This window comes from Homo sapiens, chromosome 9 (assembly GCF_000001405.40).
Source record: "Homo sapiens chromosome 9, GRCh38.p14 Primary Assembly".
Classification (NCBI taxonomy): domain Eukaryota; kingdom Metazoa; phylum Chordata; class Mammalia; order Primates; family Hominidae; genus Homo; species Homo sapiens.
Window position 1 is genome coordinate 86,049,587 of NC_000009.12, and position 22,470 is coordinate 86,072,056.

The window sequence follows — 22,470 nt, forward strand, 5'->3', positions numbered from 1 at the left end:
GTCCCTTGTAAGTTGGATTCCTAGGTATTTATTCTCTTTGAAGCAATTGTGAATGGGAGTTCACTCATGATTTGGCTGTTTGTCTGTTATTGGTGTATAGGAATGCTTGTGATTTTTGCACATTGATTTTGTATTCTGAGACTTTGCTGAAGTTGCTTATCAGCTTAAGGAGATTTTGAGCTGAGACAATGGAGTTTTCTAAACATACAATCATGTCATCTGCAAACAGGGACAATTTGACTTCCTCTTTTCCTAATTGAATACCCTTTATTTCTTTCTCCTGCCTGACTGCCCTGGCCAGAACTTCCAACACTATGTTGAATAGGAGTGGTGAGACAGGGCATCCCTGTCTTGTGCCTGTTTTCAAAGGGAATGCTTCCAGTTTTTGCCCATTCAGTATGATAATGGCTGTGGGTCTGTCATAAATAGCTCTTATTATTTTGAGATACGTCCCATCAATACCTAGTTTATTGAGTTTTTAGCATGAAGGGCTGTTGAATTTTGTCAAAGGCCTTTTCTGCATCTATTGAGATAATCAATGTGGTTTTTATCTTTGGTTCTGTTAATATGATGGATTATGTTTACTGATTTGCGTATGTTGAACCAGCCTTGCATCCCCGGGATGAAGGCAACTTGATTGTGTTGGATAAGCTTTTTGATGTGCTGCTGGATTTGGTTTGCCGGCATTTTATTGAGGATTTTTGCATCGATGTTCATCAGGGATATAGGTCTAAAATTCTCTTTTTTTGTTGTGTCTCTGCCAGGCTTTGGTATCAGGATGATGCTGGCCTCACAAAATGAGTTAGGGAGGATTCCCTCTTTTTCTATTGATTAGAATAGTTTCAGAAGGAATGGTACCAGCTCTTTGTACCTCTGGCAGAATTCGGCTGTGAATTGCCTGGTCCTGGACTTTTTTTGGTTGGTAGGCTATTAATTATTGCCTTAATTTCAGAGCCTGTTATTGGTCTATTCAGAGATTCAACTTCTTCCTGGTTTAGTCTTGGGAGGGTGTATGTGTCCAGGAATTTATCCCATTTCTTCTAGATTTTCTAGTTTATTTGCATAGAGGTGTTTATAGTATTCTCTGATGGTAGTTTGTATTTCTGTGGGATCGGTGGTGATATCCCCTTTATTATTTTTTACTGCATGTATTTGATTCTTCTCTCCTTTCTTCTTTATTAGTCTTGCTAGTGGTCTATCAATTTTGTTGATCTTTTCAAAAAACCAGCTCCTGGATTCATTGATTTTTTGAAGGGTTTCTTTTGTCTCCATCTCCTTCAGTTCTGCTCTGATCTTAGCTATTTCTTGCCTTCTGCTGGCTTTTGAATGTGTTTGCTCTTGCTTCTCTAGTTCTTTTAATTGTGGTGTTAGGGTGTCAATTTTAGATCTTTCCTGCTTTCTCTTGTGGGCATTTAGTGCTATAAATTTCCCTCTATGCACTGCCTTAAACGTGTCCCAGAGATTCTGGTATGTTGTGTCTTTGTTCTCATTGATTTCAAATAACATCCTTATTTCTGCCTTCATTTAGTTATGTACCCAGTAGTCATTCAGGAGCAGGTTGTTCAGTTTCCATGTAGTTGAGCGGTTTTGAGTGAGTTTCTTAATCCTGAGTTCTAATTTGATTGCACTGTGGTCTGAGAGACAGTTTGTTATAATTGCTGTTCTTTTACATTTGCTGAGGAGTGCTTTACTTCCAACTATGTGGTCAATTTTGGAATAAATGCGATGTGGTGCTGAGAAGAATGTATATTCTGTTGATTTGGGGTGGAGAGTTCTATAGATGTCTATTAGGTCTGCTTGGTGCAGAGCTGAGTTCAAGTCCTGGATATCCTTGTTAACTTTCTGTCTCGTTGATCTGTCTACTGTTGACAGTGGGGTGTTAAAGTCTCCCATTATTATTGTGTGGGAGACTAAGTCTCTTTGTAGGTCTCTAAGGACTTGCTTTATGAATCTGGGGCACGCACCCAATTATTAAAAATGCAAACTAGTCTACATGGCAGACCAGAGGCTGCCTGAGGGAAGTGGATCACCACGGCGCACAAGCAAGCTTTTGGGGGTGATGAATATGCTCCCTGTGTTGACTCTGGTGGAGTTACTTGACATGTATGCTCTATCAAAACCGCTGTCAAACTGAACCTTTATGTGAGACCCCCCAACTCCCACCCCCGCAGCCAGGCAGCCTCTTCAACTTTGTGGGAAACGTAGGGTTACACAAACACATTTCACAAAGTGACCCCTTTTCACATAAGACTTTTTAATATTCTTAGAACCTGACTTAGAACTAGAATTCGAAACCAGCAATGACCAAAAGAATTATAATGCAAGTCATATAAGGAATTTTTAACTTCCCAGTAACCACATTTTTAGAGTAAAAATTATTCAACCCAACAGATGATTTAGCCCAGTAGCATGGACCCTGCTGACCCTCCTGTCACTCCTGTCACAGTGGAAGGAGCCCCCGACAAAGGACAGCACCCCATTTCCTGCTCTGTGGCTGCTTCAGAAGGACTCAAAGGAAGACCAATCCCCAGCTGCCAAGTTGAGTCAGAGCGGCAAAGAGGGGGAATTAAATTGGGCTGGACAGTTTTTCTAAGTTTCATGCAGACAATCTAAATTCAGCATGACCAAATTAACAGGTCACATGTATACCATATGTATATATAACAGAACATGTACCTATCATAAATACTATCTCTTAACACATTCATGAGTGACACTCTTAACTCTTCTGTACCTAACAGCTTGCAATGTATTTGGCAATATTTTTTTTTAAAAGGAAAAGCCTCTTAAGGAGATAGACTTAGGCAAAAAGAATAAAGATTGCTCAATGACTCATGACACTATCCGCCATGAGATTATAATGGAGACCCACCTGGGCCTAGAGAAGGAGAGAAAGGGAGTTTCCTCCTCAAAGGCCAGTGCCTGGTGTGGAGGAGCGAGCGGAACTTACCTTGCAGCACTCGGATGAGCCTCTCACCTGTGGTGATGTTATTCACCAAAACCGCCTGCAACGAAGATAAACTCGCATGAAACACCCAAACCAACACCTCAGCCTGACAGCCAGATGTGATACAAACCAATGATGGGGCCTGTCCCCAACCCAGCGCTGCTGTCAGGGAAGGAGCTCGCACTCAGCGCTCAGGCTGGGCCCTCCCATGTCTGCTGCTGAAAAGGAACAGGCCGACCTAGAGATCCGCTCCCCACCACCGCCTCTGGACCCGAGCAAAAGCCAACGGGTCCAGACCCCACTCCAGCCCAGGAAACGCTGCTCCTCCAGGAAAGGGCCAGCCAGGCCCTCCTTCCTCCTGCCCGACACAGCAGAGGCTCTGGGCACCCAGAGGGCTAATCAGCAACCTCACACCGCACCACACCACACAGCACTCCACACCAAACCACACCACGACACACCAAACCACACCACACACACCACTCCACACAACACCACGCCATATGACTCCACACACCACCAGACCACACCACACACCACTCTACACGACACTACACCATGCCACAACTCCACACCACACACACCACACCACACACCACACCAAACCACACACCACTCCACACCACACATTCACACCAAACCACACACCACACCCACCACTCCACACCAAACCACACACATCACACCACTCCACACCACACATACCACGCCATATGACTCCACACCACAACGCCAGACCACACCACACACCATTCCACACCACACACCACACCAAACCACAGCAGGCCACACACCACACTACACCACGCCACAACTCCACACCACGTACCACTCCACACCACACACACCAAACCACACATCAGTCCACACCACACACTTCACACCAAACCACACCACACCACACACCATTCCATACCAAACCACATCACACCACACCACTCCATACCACACACATCACATACCACACTACACACTGCTCCACACAACACACCACTCCACACCAAACCACACCAAACACACACTACACACACACACATCACACACACCACACACCACACCACTCCACACACACATCACACACCACACCAAACATCACTACAAAACACACACCACACCATGCTACACCACTCCACACACGGCACACCACTCCACACACACCACACACATCACATACCCCACCGCATCACAGACTGCTCCACTCCACACACACCACACACTACTGCACACACCACACCAAACCATACACATCACATACCGCTCCACACAACACCATACACCACACATCACACACCAAACCAAACCACACCACACCACACCACTCTACACCACACCAGCTCACAACTGCACAACTCTGCACCACTCCACTCCACACCAGCCCAGGTCTCCCTGCCTCAGAGCTCAAACTCCAAATTCCAGGCTGACTAAAAAAGAAAAGGGAATGCAGTGGCCATTCCACTAACAAGACCTCTCGATGCACTTTAACTTCTGGCCTCCTTCTCCTGTCCACAGAGTCTATAAGCTTAGGAACTGGAGGGTTTCACACACAGTCTCACCATGCTGGGAAAGTCAACAGTAGAGGAGGACAGAAGCCACACAGAATCCAGATAACAACGACAAAGTGAAAAGTAGGAAGAATGAGTGTCAAGCTCAATGTAACAACTGGCCAGTATGCCCTGACAAGTCACTTTATGCCAGGAGCTCTTCTAAGCACCCCACATCTACTCACTCATTGACTTTTTTTTTTTTTTTTTGAGACAGAGTTTTGCTCTGTTGCCCAGGCTGGGGTGCAATGGCGCGATCTCCGGTTCACTGCAACCTCCACCTCCTGGGTTCAAGCAGTTCTCCTGCCTCAGCCTCCCAAGTAGCTGGGAGTAGAGATGGGGTTTCACCATGTTGGCCAGGCTGGTCTCAAACTTCTGACCTCAAGTGATTCGGCCGCCTTGGCCTCCCAAAGTGCTGGGATTACAGGCGTGAGCCACTGCGCCCGGCCTCATGTATTCTTCTTGACAGTTATGTGAGGTAGTAGTGTATTATCACATTTTAGGAAAAGGGAAACGGAGGCACTGGCTGCTTAAATGGCTCATGGTCACCCGCCTACTAAGAGGCAAAGCCAAACTCCAGCTCCAACAAGTGTGCTCCAGAGAGCAAGTTCTTCAAAGCTACTTGCCAAATTGCTACAAACCCAAGCAGGACACCAACGTAGTAGGCTGTACCTAATGTTAAAAACAAACAAAAGCCTGAAAAAAGCAGGGAACAGAATATTAAATATCAGAGTGCACTGCACAGGTAAATGCCATCTCACAGACAGACACATACAGCATGTATGTGTGCTGGGCCACAATGCAAACATTTCTTACTGTGTCATCATCCACAAAGTTTGCAAATAATCCATTACTTGACATGCTGCCCATAACGTGGAGACACATTTGTGTCCCATTCCTGCTTAGTGGTGGACGATGGCAAGCACAGTGCCTCTTCCTCCTCTGGGACCTTTCTATGCAACCATCCTGTTTTCTCAGGCCTGGACAGAAACAAGGCTTAGGCAAACAACAGCCTTTTGGAGTAAGGTGTTTATGAACACAGGGATGCATGCCCACAAATGAAATCGCATCAAACAAATCTGGTATTTGGGAGCTCTGAGGATATGGAACATTTCCTGGGGCAACAGGAGAGAAGTTATGGCGATAATACCTGTAAAAGTCATCCCTCAGGGAAAGATAATCCGAAGGGGTGTGTACAGGTATGCTGTACATCAGGGATTTTGCGGGGAGAGAGACTAGGAAATTAAAGGAGGATCCACACAGTAGGAATCAGATTTACGCAGCACCTGCTACTCTTGGAAACAGCTCGCTCTGCGTGAAAAGCGAAAAGATTACCATATGATCCCACAACCCCACTTGTGGGTATGAACCCAGAAGCATTTAAAGCAGGATCCCTAAGAGATGTCTGCACTCTCATGTTCGCTGCAGCATCACTCACAGTTACCAAGAGGCGAATGCAACCCAGGGGGTCACAGATGAATGAATGGATAAGCAAAATGTGGCATACACATACAATGAAATATTATGCTACCTTTACAAAGAAGGAAATACGGACACATACTACAACATGGATGAATGCAGACAACATTACACTAAGTGAAAACATAAGCCAGTCACAGAAGGACAAATGCTGTAGGATTCCATTCATATGAAGTACCTAAAGTCATCAAAACCACAGAAACAAAATAGAAAGGTGGCTGTCCAGGGATAGGAGAGGGGGGAGGGAAATTGGTGTTTAGTGAGCATCGAGACCCAGGGTTGCAGAATTAATTTCTAGAGATCTGTTGCACAACAGCGTGAATATCCTTCACATCACTGATCTGTACACTGAAATTTCCACCTTGCATCGGTGTGAAAACCATGTTTCCTCTGGAAATCAGAGTGAAAACCGAACAGTAAAAAAAACAAAAACAAACCAAAAACACTTAAATTATTACACAGTGTTTACCCCCAGAGTTGATCTCCTGGGTAAATAATATCTTTCACATCTCCTGGGTAAATAATTTCTATGAAAATTATGGCAATTTGATGTGTCCTTTTCTGTCCATTCCCCTTAGCTCCCCTCCCGACCCAAATCACATTAGTGCTTACAACTATCTGAGGGTTCAGATACTACTGCAATTTGAAATATCTAAAGATACTTCTGTCTCCATGTGACTTTATTCTTCCAAAAAAATATATTTTTGTTATCTTCCCCTATCTACTTACTTATGCATGGAAAAATACAGCCTCCACTTAGGAAAATAAAAAAAGGATCATAAAATGCCATCAAGATCTTTTATATATAATTTTATATTTATAGAAATTTTGTTGAATCATTTTCAGGGAAACTACGAAAATGCTTCTTAGCTTCTTTCAGGGTTCAACATATTATAAAGAAGAAAAAACCCTGAGTTCGACAAAATGATTTTTATTTATTTTTTATTTAAATTTTTTTTTTTTTTTTTTTTGAGACGAAGTCTCGCCTGTCGCCCAGGCTGGAATGCAGTGGCGTGATCTTGGCTCAAAGCAACCTCCACCTCCCGGGTTCAAGCAATTCCCCTGCCTCAGCCTCCTGAGTAGCTGGGACTACAGGCGCCCGCCACCACGCCTGGCTAATTTTTTTTATTTTAGTAGAGACAGGGTTTCACCATGTTGGCCAGGATGGTCTCAATCTCCTGACCTCGTGATCTGCTCGCCTTGGCCTCTCAAAGTGCTGGGATTACAGGCATGAGGCACTGCACCCAGCCAAAAAAAAATTTTTTAAGAGACAGTCTCACTCTGTTGCCCAGGCTGCAGTGCAGTGGCGCTATCATAGCTCACTGCAGCCCCCAGCTCCTGTCCTCAAGTAATCCTCCTGCCTCAGCCTCCTGCAGCACTGGGATTACAGGACTGAGCCATGGTGCTGGGCCATAATTCAACAAAATTGTTCTTAAATGAATTATATATTCTACTCTAAACAGCCAGGTTGTTTTTCACATTTTGGTGCAGAGGGACTTTAGGGGTAGCTGTACTTCCTGGTGTTTGTAAGCTGTCCCCTAAAAACACAGACAAGGAGGCAATAAGCGCCACCAGAAATTAACTGGAAACTAAACCTCAAAGAATCTGGGTGAATTACCCATGTACAAATTTATTATGACCATTCCATTCTGGGAAACAAGTATATTTGGATCAAACTTTTTCTGTATTAGATTCCTAGAAAAATAAGCTCAATATTTCATAAGTTTTCAAAGCAACAAATCTACAATAAAGTATCACATTATGAAAGCTCAATAAGATGTAGTGACTAATTTTAAAAATACTAATATTTGAAACACTCACTTGGAAGAAGGATGCTGATCACACTGTAAAAAGTAGAAGGTGACTTTTTTTTTTTGAGTGAAACAGGAGTGCTTTATGGTCTGAGAGGAGTGTTTGGGAGGAGTGCCTCCCGGCTCCCACCTGTGGGCTCACCCGAGCCGGGGTGCAGCTGAGGCCACTGTGGGAAACAGAACCCCCCACTCCCAGGAGAGGCCTCACATGCTGCCTTCGGTTCCTTGTCAGCCTTGCCTAGCGTGGGGCCTGGGCCACCCTTTAGGGTGGGTCTGCACACCCGTGTTCAGGGCTCCCGGCTGGAAGCGGAGCCATAGGCATGCTGCGGCCCTGGGTGAGCGTGGAGGGCAAGAAGGTGCTGGGGCAGTGCGCACCCCACAGCCAAGCAGGGCCCTCCTGGGCCTCAGTCACATCCCTGAGAAACACTGGAGACTGGCGGCTCTGTCCCGAGAGGGCCAGGGTGTCCACCGAGCCTGGCTGAAGCCAGCTGTCCCCTCCAGAAGGTGACTTAACTACTGTATTTCTTTGGCTCATTAAAATAACCAACCTGCTTTGAGGGCGTGAGTCCACCTTAACTTTCAGCCTTAAAAAGGACCCTTATCTAATCCAAGTCAACCCTCTGCAATCAGATGCCTGGAAAACTTCTTTGTACTGAAATTCCTGTTACTGCTTCAGAGTTACTCCTGTTACTACCTTAGAATGAAAAAGTTAATCTTAGTAACCTAGGAATGACATAAGAATGAAGGGAAGAATATCAAGTATTCATTGGAATCTTTTTACCTCTTAGCAATTTCAAAATGGTGCTATCCAAAACAGTGCTATTCAATAGAAATAAAATGTCAGTTGTACCCGGAAATTAAAAATTTTCTAATAGCCACATTGAATTAAGTAAAAAGAAACAGGTTGGGCAAAAGATTTGCAAAGACATCTCCCTAAAGTAGACATAAATGGCCAATATGTACATGAAAGATGCTCAACCTCATTAGTCACTAGTGAAATGCAAATCAAAATGAGAAGATACCACTTCACATCTATCAGTATGGCTATAATTTTTAAAAAGGTGCCAGGCGCGGTGGCTCATGCCTGTAATCCCAGCACTTTGGGAGGCCGAGGCAGGTGGATCACTTGAGGTCAGAACTGGCCAACACAGCAAAACTCTGTCTCTACTAAAAATACAAAAATTAGCCAGGCATGGTGGTATGTGCCTGTAGTCCCAGCTACTTGGGAGGGTGAGGCAGGGGAATCATTTGAACATAGGAGGCGGAGGTTGCAGTGAGCTGAGATCATGCCACTGCACTCCAGACTGGGCAACAGAGCAAGACTCTGTCTCAAAAAAAAAAAAAAAAATAGCCAGGGCGAGGTGGCTCACGCCTGTAATCCCAGCACTTTGGAAGTCCGAGGCGGGCGGATCACCTGAGGTCAGGGGTTCAAGACCAGCCCGGCCAACATGGCAAAACCCCATCTCTACTAAAACTACAAAAATTAGCCGGATGTGGTGGCAGGTGCCTGTAATCCCAGCTACTCAGGAGGCTGAGGTAGGGAGAATCGCTTGAATCCAGGAGGCGGAAGTTGCAGTGATCCGAGATTGAGCCATTGCATTCCAGCCTGGGTGATAGAGTGAGACTCTGTCTCAAAAAAATAAATAAATAAAAATAAAAAAGGAAAATAACAAGTGTTGACAAGAATGTGGAAAAGCTGGAGAGAAACTAGAACCCCCCCCCAATACACAGTGGCTAAGAATGTAAAATGCAATCCCTGTGAAAGTCTGTCAGTTTCTCAAAAAGTTCAACACAGAGCTACCATATGACCCAACAATCCCACTTGTAGGTGTACACCCAAGAGAAAGAAGACATATCCCCACTGGAAAACCTGTCCACAAATGCTCACAGCAGAATTATTCATGAAGGCCAAAAAGTGGTAACAATCCAAATGTCCGTCAACAGGCGAACAGATAAAGCAAACATGGTATATCCACCTAAGGGACTATCGTTCAGCCATAGGAGAGAAGTATTACCGACACATGCTACAACACGGATGAGGCTTGGAAACATTACACTAAGCGAAAGAAGCCAGACACAAAACAAAGGCCACGTACTGCATGATTCTATACTACATGATACGTCCAGAATAGGCAGATCTCTAGAGACAGAAAGCAGGTTAGTGGTTGCCAGGGGCTAGGGGAAGAGGGAAATGGGGAGTGATTGCTTAATGGGTACACATTTCTTTGTGGGGTGATAAAAATGTTCTGGCTGGGCGTGGTGGCTCACACCTGTAATCCCAACACTTTGGGAGGCCGAGGTGGGTGGATCACTTGAGGTCAGGAGTTCGAGACCAGCCTAGCCAACATACTGAAACCCCGTCTCTACTAAAAATACAAAAATTAGCTGGGCATGGTGGCACCTGTAATCCCTGTAATCCCAGCTACTCGGGAGGCTGAGGCAGGAGAATCACTTGAACCCAGGAGGTGGAGGTTGCAGTGAGCCAAGATGGCAACACTGCACTCCAGCCCGGGTGACACAGTGTGAGTCTATCTCAAAAAAAAAAAAAAAAAAAAAAAAGTTTTGGAATCAGTGGTTATAGTTGCATGGCATTGTGAACATACCCAAACCACTGAGATGTATGATACATTAAAAAATGGCTAAAATAATGAATTGTATGTTATGTGAATTTTATCCCAACTTTAAAAATAAGAAACAGGTGAAATTAATATTTTATTTACCCTAATGTATCCCAATTATCATTGCAAGATGTATTCCACATAAAAATTATTGAGAAATTTGGCATTTTCACACTCAATCTTTGCACTCCAGCATATCTTACACTTGTAGGACATCTCAGCTGGGACATGCTAAGTGCTCACAGCCACCTGCAGCTAGGGACAGCAAGTTCCAGAGGAATAAGAAGGTGGGGGCAAAGAGGGAGACAGAGAAGGGGAGGGAGACAGGGAAAGCGGGGAGAGGGAAGGAGAGAGAGGCAGAGACTTGCAAACAAGTCATTTATGGCATCCTGCTAAGATTACACACTCACACACTCATTCACACACACAAACAACAAGACAAGCAGTGACTCCCAAATGCTTCATGCCTACAGCCACCACTGAGCCAAATGGTGGGTCGCTGGATGCATGTTCCCATAGGGACAAGGGCACAAAGTGATGAGGAAACTAGTCCAGTCCACAAGCCCCTAAAGATGACATGATTATGTTTTGTGGGTTAAGAAGTTACATAACACACAGGCCGGGCGCAGCAGCTCACGCCTGTAATCCCAGCACTTTGGGAGGCCGAGGCGGGTGGATCACCTGAGGTCAGGAGTTCCAGACCAGCCTCAACATGGAGAAGCCCCGTCTCTACTAAAAATACAAAATTAACTGGGTGTGGTGGTGCATGCCTGTAATCCCAGCTACTTGGGAGGCTGAGGCAGGAGAATTGCTTGAACCTGGGAGGCAGAGGTTGCGGTGAGCCGAGATTGTGCCATTGCACTCCAGCCTGGGCAACAAGAGCGAAACTCTCTCAAAAAAAAAAAAAAAAAAAAAAAAAAAAAAAAAAAAAAGAAGAAGAAGAAGAAGTTACACAACACAGAAATGTTGTGACTGACACTGAATACTTGACATGAGGAATTCCTGGATGTTTTGGTATGATCATGGTATTGTGGCTATGAGAGACAGACAATCCCACCTTTTCAGGACGTGTGCTGAAATAGTCATGGTTAAAACGGCACGAGTTGTAATCGCTGAAGCTTGGCACTGGATGTGTGGGGGCTCACTGGGTCACTCTGTCTACCTTTTCATGTTTACGGTTTTCTACAATCAGCCAACACACACAGGCACACATAAGCTTGCCACATTGATAATTAAATCTGCCAAGTACAATTTTTTAAAAATCTTAACTTCAAGGCTGGTTTTAGAGGAAAAGAAAGGTGAATTAGAAGATGCTGAGATAAACCTGTTGTCTGGAGAAATTTGAGGTAGATTCAAGAACTTTTAGAAGGGCAGGTCTTTGCTGCAGTATTTCTCATTTGTAATTTCACTCCTAAAATTAAGCAATTTTCTTTTCATAGTATAGCTCCATCAACAATTATCAACTATGACAAATGGCCTTCGAAGCTCACTAATGAGGATAAAGGGAGGAAAAAGAAAAGAAAAACGAGTAACAGAGAAAGAGGGCAGCAGAGGGAAGACCGGGATGGGAGAGATTTTCTTGAAGACCTGAGACTGTGGCATCCGGTTTGGGATCTGCTGCTAATTTGCTCCTTGACTTTGGACGCTTCGTTTAACTTCTCTGTGCCTCTGTTTCCCCAAAGTGGAACCTAAGCAGGGTGGCCTGCTGAGTTTTATTTAAAGGGGCACCTTACAGACACCTCAAGTGGGAACCCAAATATGGGGGCATGGGTCAGAGTGTGAATGAGTGTCTGTGAGTGTGAGTTGAACTGAGTGTGAGAATACCAACAGGAGGAGAGGAGTGGCTAAAGGTTTAGGGGATAGAGTCAAATGTCAGCGTAAATGGTAGGATCCTGGTCAGAGAGCAGCTGAGGAGGCTTCAGGGCAGGGGACCCAGATGGGCAGAAAGGCGGGTCTGGACCTGCAGCTATGGGACAGTGTGCACAAGTCACCAAGTTTAAATGGAAGGGCGTCGGGAGATTAAGTGTAACTTTCTACAAAGCTTCAGAAAACACCATCTATCCAGGAAAACACGTAGGACACACAGACACAGTTGCTACACGCCCAGAATAGCTCCTGCCAACACATCCCTGTGTTGTCACAGGGAAGGTAACATCCTCCCACCCCATCCACCTTGCAGCTTGGCGGGTGTGGGAAAGCACCTCGCTGGGAGAGTGCAGGATGCTCCCAGGACCCGCCCTGGGGTCACCCGGGTGCCCAGCTTGGCAGAACAAGGTCCATGAGGTGTGGTGGCCATCACAGACATAAGCACAGGGTTGATGGCGAGGGGGCCTGAACCCAAGACTGGCTCACACCCTCCCCCAGCATCTCCTGCACAGGGCACACTGCAGGTGCTTTGGGGAGGGAGGAGAGAGGATGGGGAGGAGGGGAAGGGGAGGAAGGAGAGAGCAAAGGATGGTGAGGAGAGGGAGAGAAAGGAGGACAGAGGGAAGGGAGGACGGGGGAGGAGGGAGGAAGAGGAGGAGGGAGAATGGAGGGAGAGGAGGAGGGAAGAAAAGAGGACAGAGTAGGATGGAGGAAAGGGATGGAAGGAAGAGGAGAGAGACAGGGTCTGGAGGGGAGGAGGGCAAGAGGAGGATGGAGGGAGGAAAAGGACAAAGGAAGGGAGAGGGGTGGAGGGACAGAAAGGAAGAGGAAGGATGGAGGGAGGGGAGGCAGGAGGAAGGAAAAAGGAGGAGAAGCAAACGGGGGGGGCTGCCCTTGCCTCTGAGAACCTGCTACACTGTCTCCTTTGGTAGCAGCCTGCCCCTGTGCCTCTAACCTACACGTGACTTGGGTCAAATAAAACTTCCAGGAGGATCCAAACCTGAAGGACAGTGGGAACCCCAGAATGCACTTTGAGGCTTCTCTAGCAGTGGACGAGCGCCTGTCTTCTTAGTCCCTGACCCTGGATCTTTCTGAAGGTCTCCTCATCACCCAGCTGCCAGGGAACCTGGCTGCCCCTGAAGCAGCTCACACTGGTCTGTCCCCTCTGCAGCACCACCCAAGCTGCCCCTCAGCTCTTCCCGCTGCTCTCACTCCTGAACACTTAAGGAGATGGCAGGGGAGGAGCTGCCGAACCAGAGGAGCACCCCACACACTGCCAACAGGGCTTGACCCAGGAGCGGGGGCTTGAAAAGCTCCAGCTCCGTTTTTAGAGGAAGAAGAATGCCGGATTACAACACAGCACCAGCAATCTGGATATTCGTTCCCTGGCTGTTCTTTAACCAGCCAGGAAATGCCCTGTGCAAGGGCTGGAGGCCTGGGGCTGCAGACTCCCAATCTCAATGGGCACCCCAGGGCTGAGCCACCTGAGGGCACTGGGGGTTTCCATTTTCAAACGGGAATCCTAGCAGCTTCCCTGCTCCCACCTGCGGAAGAGGAGACACTTTTGTACATTCTGACTTTCTGCAGACAGGTAAAAAGGCGTACACAGACCTTTGGGGATGAAAGAGAAACTAAAACTGAACCAAGTGTACAGGTTACAGCGTCACAGTCAAGGCACCTAACAGACCCTACTTACTGTTTGTTCTTAAACATGAATGACTGCAGATCCCTGCCAGAGACGGTAAGTGAAAAAACAGCTACCTCCTATTTTCTTTACGTATTTCCCATCAAACGCCTGTCTTGGGTTGGGTTAAGAATTACAGAAGGTAAACGGAGTCAATTCCAAGTCACTCAAGCAATTTTCTGTGTGAAGAGAGAACAAGACAAAAGCCAACCACAACAGCAAAACCCAAAGCCTCCGTTACGCCTTCTATGGCAATCAAACACGCCAACGCTCTTTCTAGTGCGTATGAAGCCAAGGCCAAGAGCGAGGACACCTGCAGGATTTGGTTCTGTCCCATTAGGAACAGAGATCAATGCACATGAAATCCATGCCTCGTCTGGTCAGCCGCTAACCATCGTGGGCAACCTCACATTGCACGACAATGCTTTCCATGTGGAACTTGTCCATGGCATGTTTAAAAATCAAACCACGTCCTGAATCAAATAGGCATCTGAGTCTTCTCCTGAGGTCCAGGACATCCCATGACAGGCTCAGGCCCCTCCCTGGAGGTGGGAGGTGAGGACCCAGCACTAGGACACCCACTGAGGCACAGTCTGCAGTGAAGGACATCTACCTGAATGGCATGTTTGCTGCTTCTCCTACAAATGTATTTTTAAGTGTGGGAAGCAAATTACTTGAGTTTAATTATAAACCTGTATTTGAAGGTTGAATCCAATTGACAAACTGGAGAATTTCCAATCTAAAAAGACTAGAAGTCTTCTGAGACAAACACTTTTATTTTCAGGGCAGCAAATTTTCAATGGATTTTACTGACCTGCTTCCATTCTGCTCAATTCACACTTTCCCGCACCTATCCCATCTGTCACGGGGCCTGTTGATCCCTCCTCTTGGCTGCCTCCCAAATCTGCTCACTTTGCAGAGCTCATCCTACTCCTGCCCAAATTCAGTGCAACATCACTTTTTACTCCAAGTATTTCAAGAGCTGCCTCACTGTGCTGCCTCCTCTCTGCCCTGCTCCCCACCCAGCCCTCTCCCCACATGGCCAGGGCCTGCCTTTTAAATCCCACATCTGACCACACTGCTCCATCACAGCTTAAACCCTATGACGGCTTCCCCGGTCTTGAACTCAAGTCCAAACTCCTTCAAACTCAAGTCCAAACTCCTGCACCCCAACATCACACTCTGCTCGGGCCCAGCCACTCGCAGTTCCCTAGGCACCCTTCCAGGTTAGACACTGTGGGGGACAGCGCTGCTGACTCCCATGGCCCTTGAGCCGCCTGCCTGGTGGGGGATGCAGCAGATCGGCTCCTCCACGTCGGTTCCACACGCCTTTTGCTGTGCTTTCCTGAACCACAAAGGCTCGGAAGCTAAAATGCACCTTCCAGAATCATTTCCAGTGGGATTCTGCCTCCAATCAGATGCACTTACTGGAGGCTAGAATGTGGAACAGAGTGAGGGTGTGGGAGGTGCAGAACAGAGAAAGTGGGGTGCCCCTGACTCTGGGCCTGCACTGCAGCAGAACCCCGCTGGTCTCACGCTCTACGCTGGGCACAGGGGCAGGTCCTGAGATAGTGCCTGAGAGCCACCCCACCTCAATGCAGGCCCTTCCCACAGCTTACAGTATCTATTTCCCTGTATCAAATCCTTCCTGCTTAAAATATCTGGGTGGTTTCTCTGTCTACACTGACCCCACTACACTCACTTCCTCATCTTTGTCCAGCACTCAATGGTAAATGTGCAATGAACACAGCCTCCCCACCACTGGGCACAGGCCAGGGCAGAACAGAACAAATACTGAACGGACTGACAGAACTGGACCCGGAAAATCGGTGAGAATAAAAACAGAAAAGCTGCTCTAGAACTCTGGATTCATCAATCACAGCGATTAAAGGTGATAAAAATCAAAGACACCACTTTTATCTGCACAAGATCGCTTTGGTTCCCCCAGAAGACAATCATTACATTCGCAGGTGCACAAGCAAAGCTGGCCCAGAGAGAAGACACCAGAACCCTCTGAGAATTGCATCTGGCCACAGGAGAATGCAGTCTGGTGGGGCCAGTGTGACGAGCAGACCTGGCAGCCCCCGGCAGCCCCACGCCGGCCACTCTCAGGTGCCGGGAGCCTTCCATGACCTCTCTGGCTCTCACTCTCTTCCCCTCTGTCTCAAGCGACAAGAATGACTGTCTCCTAAAGAAATGAAGTTAGAAATTAAATATGTTCATGTCGGGCTGGGTGCGGTGGCACACACCTGTAACCCCAGCACTTTGGGAGGCTGAGGAGGGTAGATCACGAGGTCAGAAGTTCAAGACCAGCCTGGCCAACATGGTGAAACCCCATCTCTACTAAAAATACAAAAATAAGCCAGGCGTGGTGGCACCTGCCTGTAATCCCAGCTACTCGGGAGGCTGAGGCAGGAGAATCATATGAACCCGGGAGGCGGAGGTTGCAGTGAGCCAAGATTACGCCACTGTACTCCAGCCTGGGTGACACAGTGAGACTCTGTCTCCAGAAAATAAATAAATATGTTCATGTTACAAAAGCACTCTGAAACTCTCAAGTAGGACCAATGACCAGACTTGTTAATTATTTTATTTTGAAGAGGCAAAATCTTTCAGCAAAAGTCACTCATAAACAAATGCTGTTGTATTTGAGGGAAGTGACCCCATCCCAGGCTCAGAAGACACTCAAGAACGCACTCCATGAACCAGCTCTTTACAAGAGAAAAGCACTGTAAACACCTCAGAGCCTCCTCGTACCCCAAGTTACTGTGCAAGAGGAGAAACCGGGCAGCTCCCTGAAACCACCTGGACATGGGTACAGGTCACACAGGCAAGCATGACAACAGTGAGGCTGAGCGCCCCCTGCACTTTCCCACTGCCTCTTTAAGCTTTTCTTCTTCTGGACACAAAACGATAAGCAAGTCACCAACACCTCTGTTCTTCCACTCAGCAATCTTTTTGTTTTAACTCAGTTGCTCCCCTTCAGGAAAGATACAAGAACTCTATTTTCATGACAAAGGAACTGTTGCTAAAACATTACCTTTGCACCTCTGCAATATTAATGCACATATTTTAACAAATAAGTAAAAAGTATAAATGTCAAAGTGGATGTGCAGCTGCGAGAAACCAGCCGAGCGAGAATGTTACAAGTGCAAATGCTGAAAATGAAGCTATTTGTGACTGAACTTTTGGCAAGCAAAAATGAACACAATAGCAGGAAGATGTGCCTTTCCCTTCACGAAGTGCTAGTAAGTAATTCAGGGTCTCCCAGACTCTTCCCCAAGCATTTCAGAGGGCAGGTGATGCCACCCCCAAGCCTTTGTGGCCACTACTGGCCACTGAACAGCAGTTAGCCAAGAGGGGACCCAGGATCTTTGGAAGTCTTCAGACCCAAATTATTATTATTACTATTATTATTATTATTTAGATGGAGTCTCGCTGTCACCCAGGCTAGAGTGCTTGGCATGGTCTCAGCTCACTGCAACCTCTGCCTCCCAGGTTCAAGTCATTCTCCTGCCTTAGCCTCCCAAGTAGCTGGGATTACAGGCATGCACCACCACACCCAGCTAATTTTTGTATTTTTAGTAGAGACGGCATTTCGCCATGCTGACTGAACTCCTGACCTCAAGTGATCCACCGGCCTTGGCCTCCCAAAGTGCTGGGATTACAGGTATCAGCCACCATGCCTGGCCCAGACCCAAATTATTAATCAGCCTGTGTTAACAACATAAAAGAATGAATTAAACCACTCTGTGCCCTCCTTAGGAGAGAATGCACACCTTTACAAGTGAATCTCCATTGGCTTCTACCAAAAACTAAAACCCAAGTATCTGTTTCTAGTTAGGCCCCTTAAAAACCTGTTTTATATGTACACATATATGAATCTGTAAAAAAGAAAACAGTATTTCACTGGTGGTTGCGTGAAGATTATTTCTATGCACACGAATGTGGTAGTTTAAAAACATTACCACAAATTAATTGACACTAACTCCCAAAGGGGGAGTCCAATTCCCCTGAAATTCGGGGCAGCCTTAGTGACTTGCTTCTAATGAATGTAGAAGTGACCACACTCATTTCCAAGGCAAGGTCAACAAAAGGGGCCGTCGGTTGAACAGTGTACACCTAAAATTCATGTCCATGTTGAACCTGTGAAGGAGCCCATGAATGACCTCATTTAGAAACAGGGTTGGCCGGGCGCAGTGGCTCATGCCTGTAATCCCAGCACTTTGGGAGGCCGAGGCGGGCGGATCACCTGAGGTCAGGAGTTCAAGACCAGCCTAGCCAATGTGGTGAAACCCCATCTCTACTAAAAATACAAAAAACATTAGCTGGGCATGGTGGTGGGTGCCTGTAGTCCCAACTACTTAGGAGGCTGAGGCAGGAGAATGACTTGAACCTGGAAGGTGGAGGTTGCAGCGAACCAAGATCACATCACTGGACTCCAGCCTGGGGCGACAGAGTGAGACTCCGTCTCAAAAATAAATAAATAAATAAATAAATTTAAAAAAAAAGAAACAAGGTCTACGCAGATGTACTTAAATTAAAATGAGGTCGCTAGGTGGGCCCTATCCAATATGACTGGTGTTCTTATAAGAGGAGGAGAAGAGGCGAAAAGAAAGACTGAGAGGCAAGCAGGCCATGTGAGGTGGAAATTGCACAAAACTGCACTTACAAGCTGAGGAACGTCAAAGGTGTCAGCAAACACTAGAAGCCAGAGAGGCGAGGTAGTGTCCTCCCACAGCCCTGCTGGCACCTGAATTTCAGGCTTCTAGCCCTCAAAACTGTAAAAGTATACATTTTTGTTGTTTTAAGCTATCTAGTCTGTATTAATTTGTACGCAGCCCTAGGACCCAAATACAAAAGATGACACAGCTTCCTCCCGCTGGTCAGGTCTGCTGTGAGCGAGGATGCTAACTCTCAAAACCCAGCCCTTGCTGAAAAGAAGCCACACTGCCACGTGGAAAAGGGAGTGTAGGTGTCTTGGTCCTGGCCCCTGCCCCTGCCCAGGTCTCAGGTGACAGCTGCACTTACTGCCAGGCCCCTGAGTAAGGGACTCTCTGATCATTCTAACCTCAGCCTTCAAGGCACCCCAGACATGCAGTGCAGAGTAGAGACAACCCGTTCCCACTGAGCTTTCCCAAACTGCAGATGCAGGAGCAAAATACATGTTTGTTATGGGTTTAACTATGTTTGGGGATAACCTGATATGCAGTAACAGATAACAAAAACAACACGTGTGTCTAAATTCACCAGAACCAAACGTATGCTTTGTGTTCAAAACATAGTTACCAGTCCCAACTGGGTATCAGGGAAGTCTACAGAAGCTCCCTTCTGCAAACAGGTATGCAGAGTCCTCTTGTCTGCAATTATACCTCTCAGTGTCTACTTACAAAGTGGTTGCCTCAACTAAGATAGTAAGGTACAATAAGCCAACAATGTCTGGGTTTTTTTTTTTAACAATATGCAAAAGCCAGAAATGGCTAAACGTTTTATCATTTAAAGAACCCCACTTATATTCTACAATTTTCATGGCATACCTACATTTATAAAGTATTATAAGTATATTATTAAGTAGTAACTAATAAAAGCTTACATGTAATCTCTATTTTTTTTTTTAAAGAAAGGGAGTGGAGAGTTCTCAATAGCTAATTTCTGAGTGAGAACTACAGGTGAATTTTTCTTTTTTGTTTTCAAATTTGCTTATAACATTATTTTAATTAAGGAAAAGCCAACTTTTTTGGAAAGTTACTTAACATACACAATCATTGCAAAAGGCGGCTTAATATCCTTTCTTATACACAGAAAAGGAAGTGTGGTGCTTCTACTAAGTTACATAAATTCTCATGAACTTGCACAACTGCACTGATGCAGTCAAACCATCTTCACCACACCTACTACTGCAACAGACAGGGAGGCAAAAAAGAAAGGAAACGGAAATGGCAGCTCAATCCCCAAGAACTGAGTCTCACTCATCTGAAGTATTTACTCTCGAATGAGCACAGTCTGCAGGATTTGGTTCAGATTAACGAGACATAATCTAATTAACCCATTAATACTCTAGCCAGTGGACGGATTCCTCCTGTGTGAGGTTCCTCCTCTCATCCAGTGGGCTATGGGTGTGGGGTCGTTAAAATGGAACACACATGGCCACCTAGCCTTCCACATGGGCAGAGGGTTAGCTGAGGCCAGCAATGACACCTGCCATTTTACATCTTTATCTCGCAACACTCTTCCCAACTTAGGTGGGACCTGTCACACCTCCACATTCCTTTTCTAATCCTCTGACTGCACTGAAATGCTGTCCTTCTACCCTTCTCTAAATCCCATTTTAGTCTCCAAGGCTCAAAGCCAATCTTTTTTTCTTTTTTTGAGATGAAGTCTCACTTTGTCACCCAGGCTGGAGTGCAGTAGTGCAGTCCTGGCTCACTGCAACCTCCGCCTCCCGGGTTCAAGCGATTCTCCTGCCTCAGCCTGCAGAGTAGCTGGGATTTCAGGTGCCTGCCACCACACCCGGATAATTTTTTGTATTTTTGGTAGAGACAGGGTTTCACCATGTTGGCGAGGCTGGTCTGGATCTCCTGACCTCATGATCTGCCTGCCTCAGCCTCCCAAAGTGCTGGGATTACAGGCGTGAGCCACCGTGTCCGACCTAAAGCCAATCTTTTTAGAGAAAAAAACAAAACAAAACTGCAACTGCTTTAGCCAATACCCATCTCTCCTTTCATGTAACTCCACCTGCTGTTAAACATTGATTATTTTCACCCAGCACAGTGGGTCATGCCTCTAATCCCAGTACTTTGGGAGGCCAAGGTGGGCGGATCACGAGCTCAGGAGTTCAAGACCAGCCTGGCCAGGATGGTGAAACCCTGTCTCTACTAGAAACACAAAAATTAGCCGGGTGTGGTGGCACGTGACTGTAATCCTAGCTACTTGGGAGGCTGAGGCAAATAACTGCTTGAACCCAGGAGGCGGAGGTTGCAGTGAGCTGAGATCATGCCACTGCACTCCAGCCTGGGCGACAGAGCGAGACTCCACCTCAAAAAAAAAAAACAAAAAAAACCTGATTATTCTCTAGATATGTGAGGGAATCTCATCTTCCTCCAAAACAGCATTCAAGCTGCTAAGGACACAGGGCCCCAGGCACATCCTAGACATCCAGTAAGTACTGGTACATGGACTGAGATTCCCATTCATTCATTTACCACGAACTCGAACTTTTACTAAGTAACAGTCTCAAACCCATGAGATAAGCTAATTGATCAGGCGCAAAACTTAGATTGCAAGAAATAAGAAAAGAGTGAAATATTACACACAGAAATGTAGGGCCAAAGGATCTGATCTGCAGGCCAGGAAGTTGTACAAAGTGAAATATAACAGCAGGAACGTTCTGTGGCAACAGCTAATAAAAATGAGAGGATGTACAACCATCCAGCTACTTAACGTCCAGGTGTATCTCTATATCTTTCCAGACTCTTTTGACCATGACCCACAATGATAAATTTTATCTTGTGATTCAGTACAAACATTTACACACATATATACATGTACACACACACACACACACACACACACACGTATATTTAGAAACAGGGTCTCGCTCTGTCACCTAGGCTGGAGCACAGTGGTGCAATTATAGTTCATTGAACCTCAAACTCCTGGGCTCAAGGTGATCCACCCACCTCAGCTTCCTGAGTAGCTAGGACTACAGGCATGCAACAACCATTCCCAGTTACTTTTTAATTTTCTGTAGAGACAGGGTCTCAGTATGTTGCCCAGGCTGGTCTTGAACTCCTGGCCTCAAGCAATCCTCCCGCCTTAGCCTCCCAAAGCACCTATTTTTTTTAATATAAAATGCAACAATGGTGGTCAGGCATGGTAGCTCATGCCTGTAATCCCAGCACTTTGGGAGGTCAAGGCAGGTGGATCACTTGAAGTCAGGAGTTCGAGACCAGCCTGGCCAACACGGAGAAACCCCGTCTCTACTAAAAATACAAAAATTAGCCGGGTGTGGTGGTGCAGGTCTGTAATCCCAGCTACTCGGGAGGCTGTGAGAAACGCTGTGAGGTGGAGGTGGAGGTTGCAGTGAGCCGAGATCGTGCCACTGCACTCCAGCCTGGGCAACAGAGTGAGACTCTGTCTCAAAAAGAAAAAAAAAAAAGCAATAATAGTTTCATAACGCAACAGTTAACATATACAATAACACTCTAATATTTTTAGTTTTTTAAGACGTGGGTCATTATCCACTAAATTATTAAGCATAGCTCACTAAAAGGTCCCAAACTGTAGTTGGCAAACACTGCAAGCTTGGAAAACCCCCAGGTGCCTGAGCAGCACTGTATGAGTATACTCACTGTACCTTCTCTCAAGGAGTAAAAAACTAGAAACAAAGGCTTACAATAAGGAGTGGGTAAATAAACTGGGGTATATTTATACAAAGAAAGAGGGTACAGCAGTGAGAAAGAATGAACTAAATCTATCAAATCAATAAAGACCTCAAAAACAATGGTGACTACAAAAAGCAAGT

At 46.1% G+C, this 22,470-nt stretch overlaps 1 protein-coding gene across 2 annotated transcripts in view, besides 3 other annotated features; it reads right to left on the bottom strand.

Annotated features, from left to right (window-relative positions):
* GOLM1 (golgi membrane protein 1) overlaps window positions 1-22,470 on the bottom strand; it is a 74,004-nt gene that overhangs the window by 23,441 nt on the left and 28,093 nt on the right. For both annotated transcript variants that reach the window (NM_177937.3, NM_016548.4), the window contains exon 4: window positions 2,951-3,005. In NM_177937.3, coding sequence (NP_808800.1) covers window positions 2,951-3,005 — 55 coding nt within the window. The remainder of the gene's footprint in view (window positions 1-2,950; window positions 3,006-22,470) is intronic.
* Window positions 13,098-14,014: an enhancer, noted in NCBI's record as "H3K27ac-H3K4me1 hESC enhancer chr9:88677599-88678515 (GRCh37/hg19 assembly coordinates)". NCBI's record gives its function as "activates a minimal SCP1, AML or CMV promoter by ChIP-STARR-seq in naive and primed H9 embryonic stem cells {active_cell/tissue: H9 hESC(naive and primed)}" and the evidence as "EXISTENCE:reporter gene assay evidence [ECO:0000049][PMID:30033119]".
* Window positions 15,247-15,747: an enhancer, noted in NCBI's record as "H3K27ac-H3K4me1 hESC enhancer chr9:88679748-88680248 (GRCh37/hg19 assembly coordinates)". NCBI's record gives its function as "activates a minimal SCP1, AML or CMV promoter by ChIP-STARR-seq in naive and primed H9 embryonic stem cells {active_cell/tissue: H9 hESC(naive and primed)}" and the evidence as "EXISTENCE:reporter gene assay evidence [ECO:0000049][PMID:30033119]".
* Window positions 15,748-16,748: an enhancer, noted in NCBI's record as "H3K27ac-H3K4me1 hESC enhancer chr9:88680249-88681249 (GRCh37/hg19 assembly coordinates)". NCBI's record gives its function as "activates a minimal SCP1, AML or CMV promoter by ChIP-STARR-seq in naive H9 embryonic stem cells {active_cell/tissue: H9 hESC(naive)}" and the evidence as "EXISTENCE:reporter gene assay evidence [ECO:0000049][PMID:30033119]".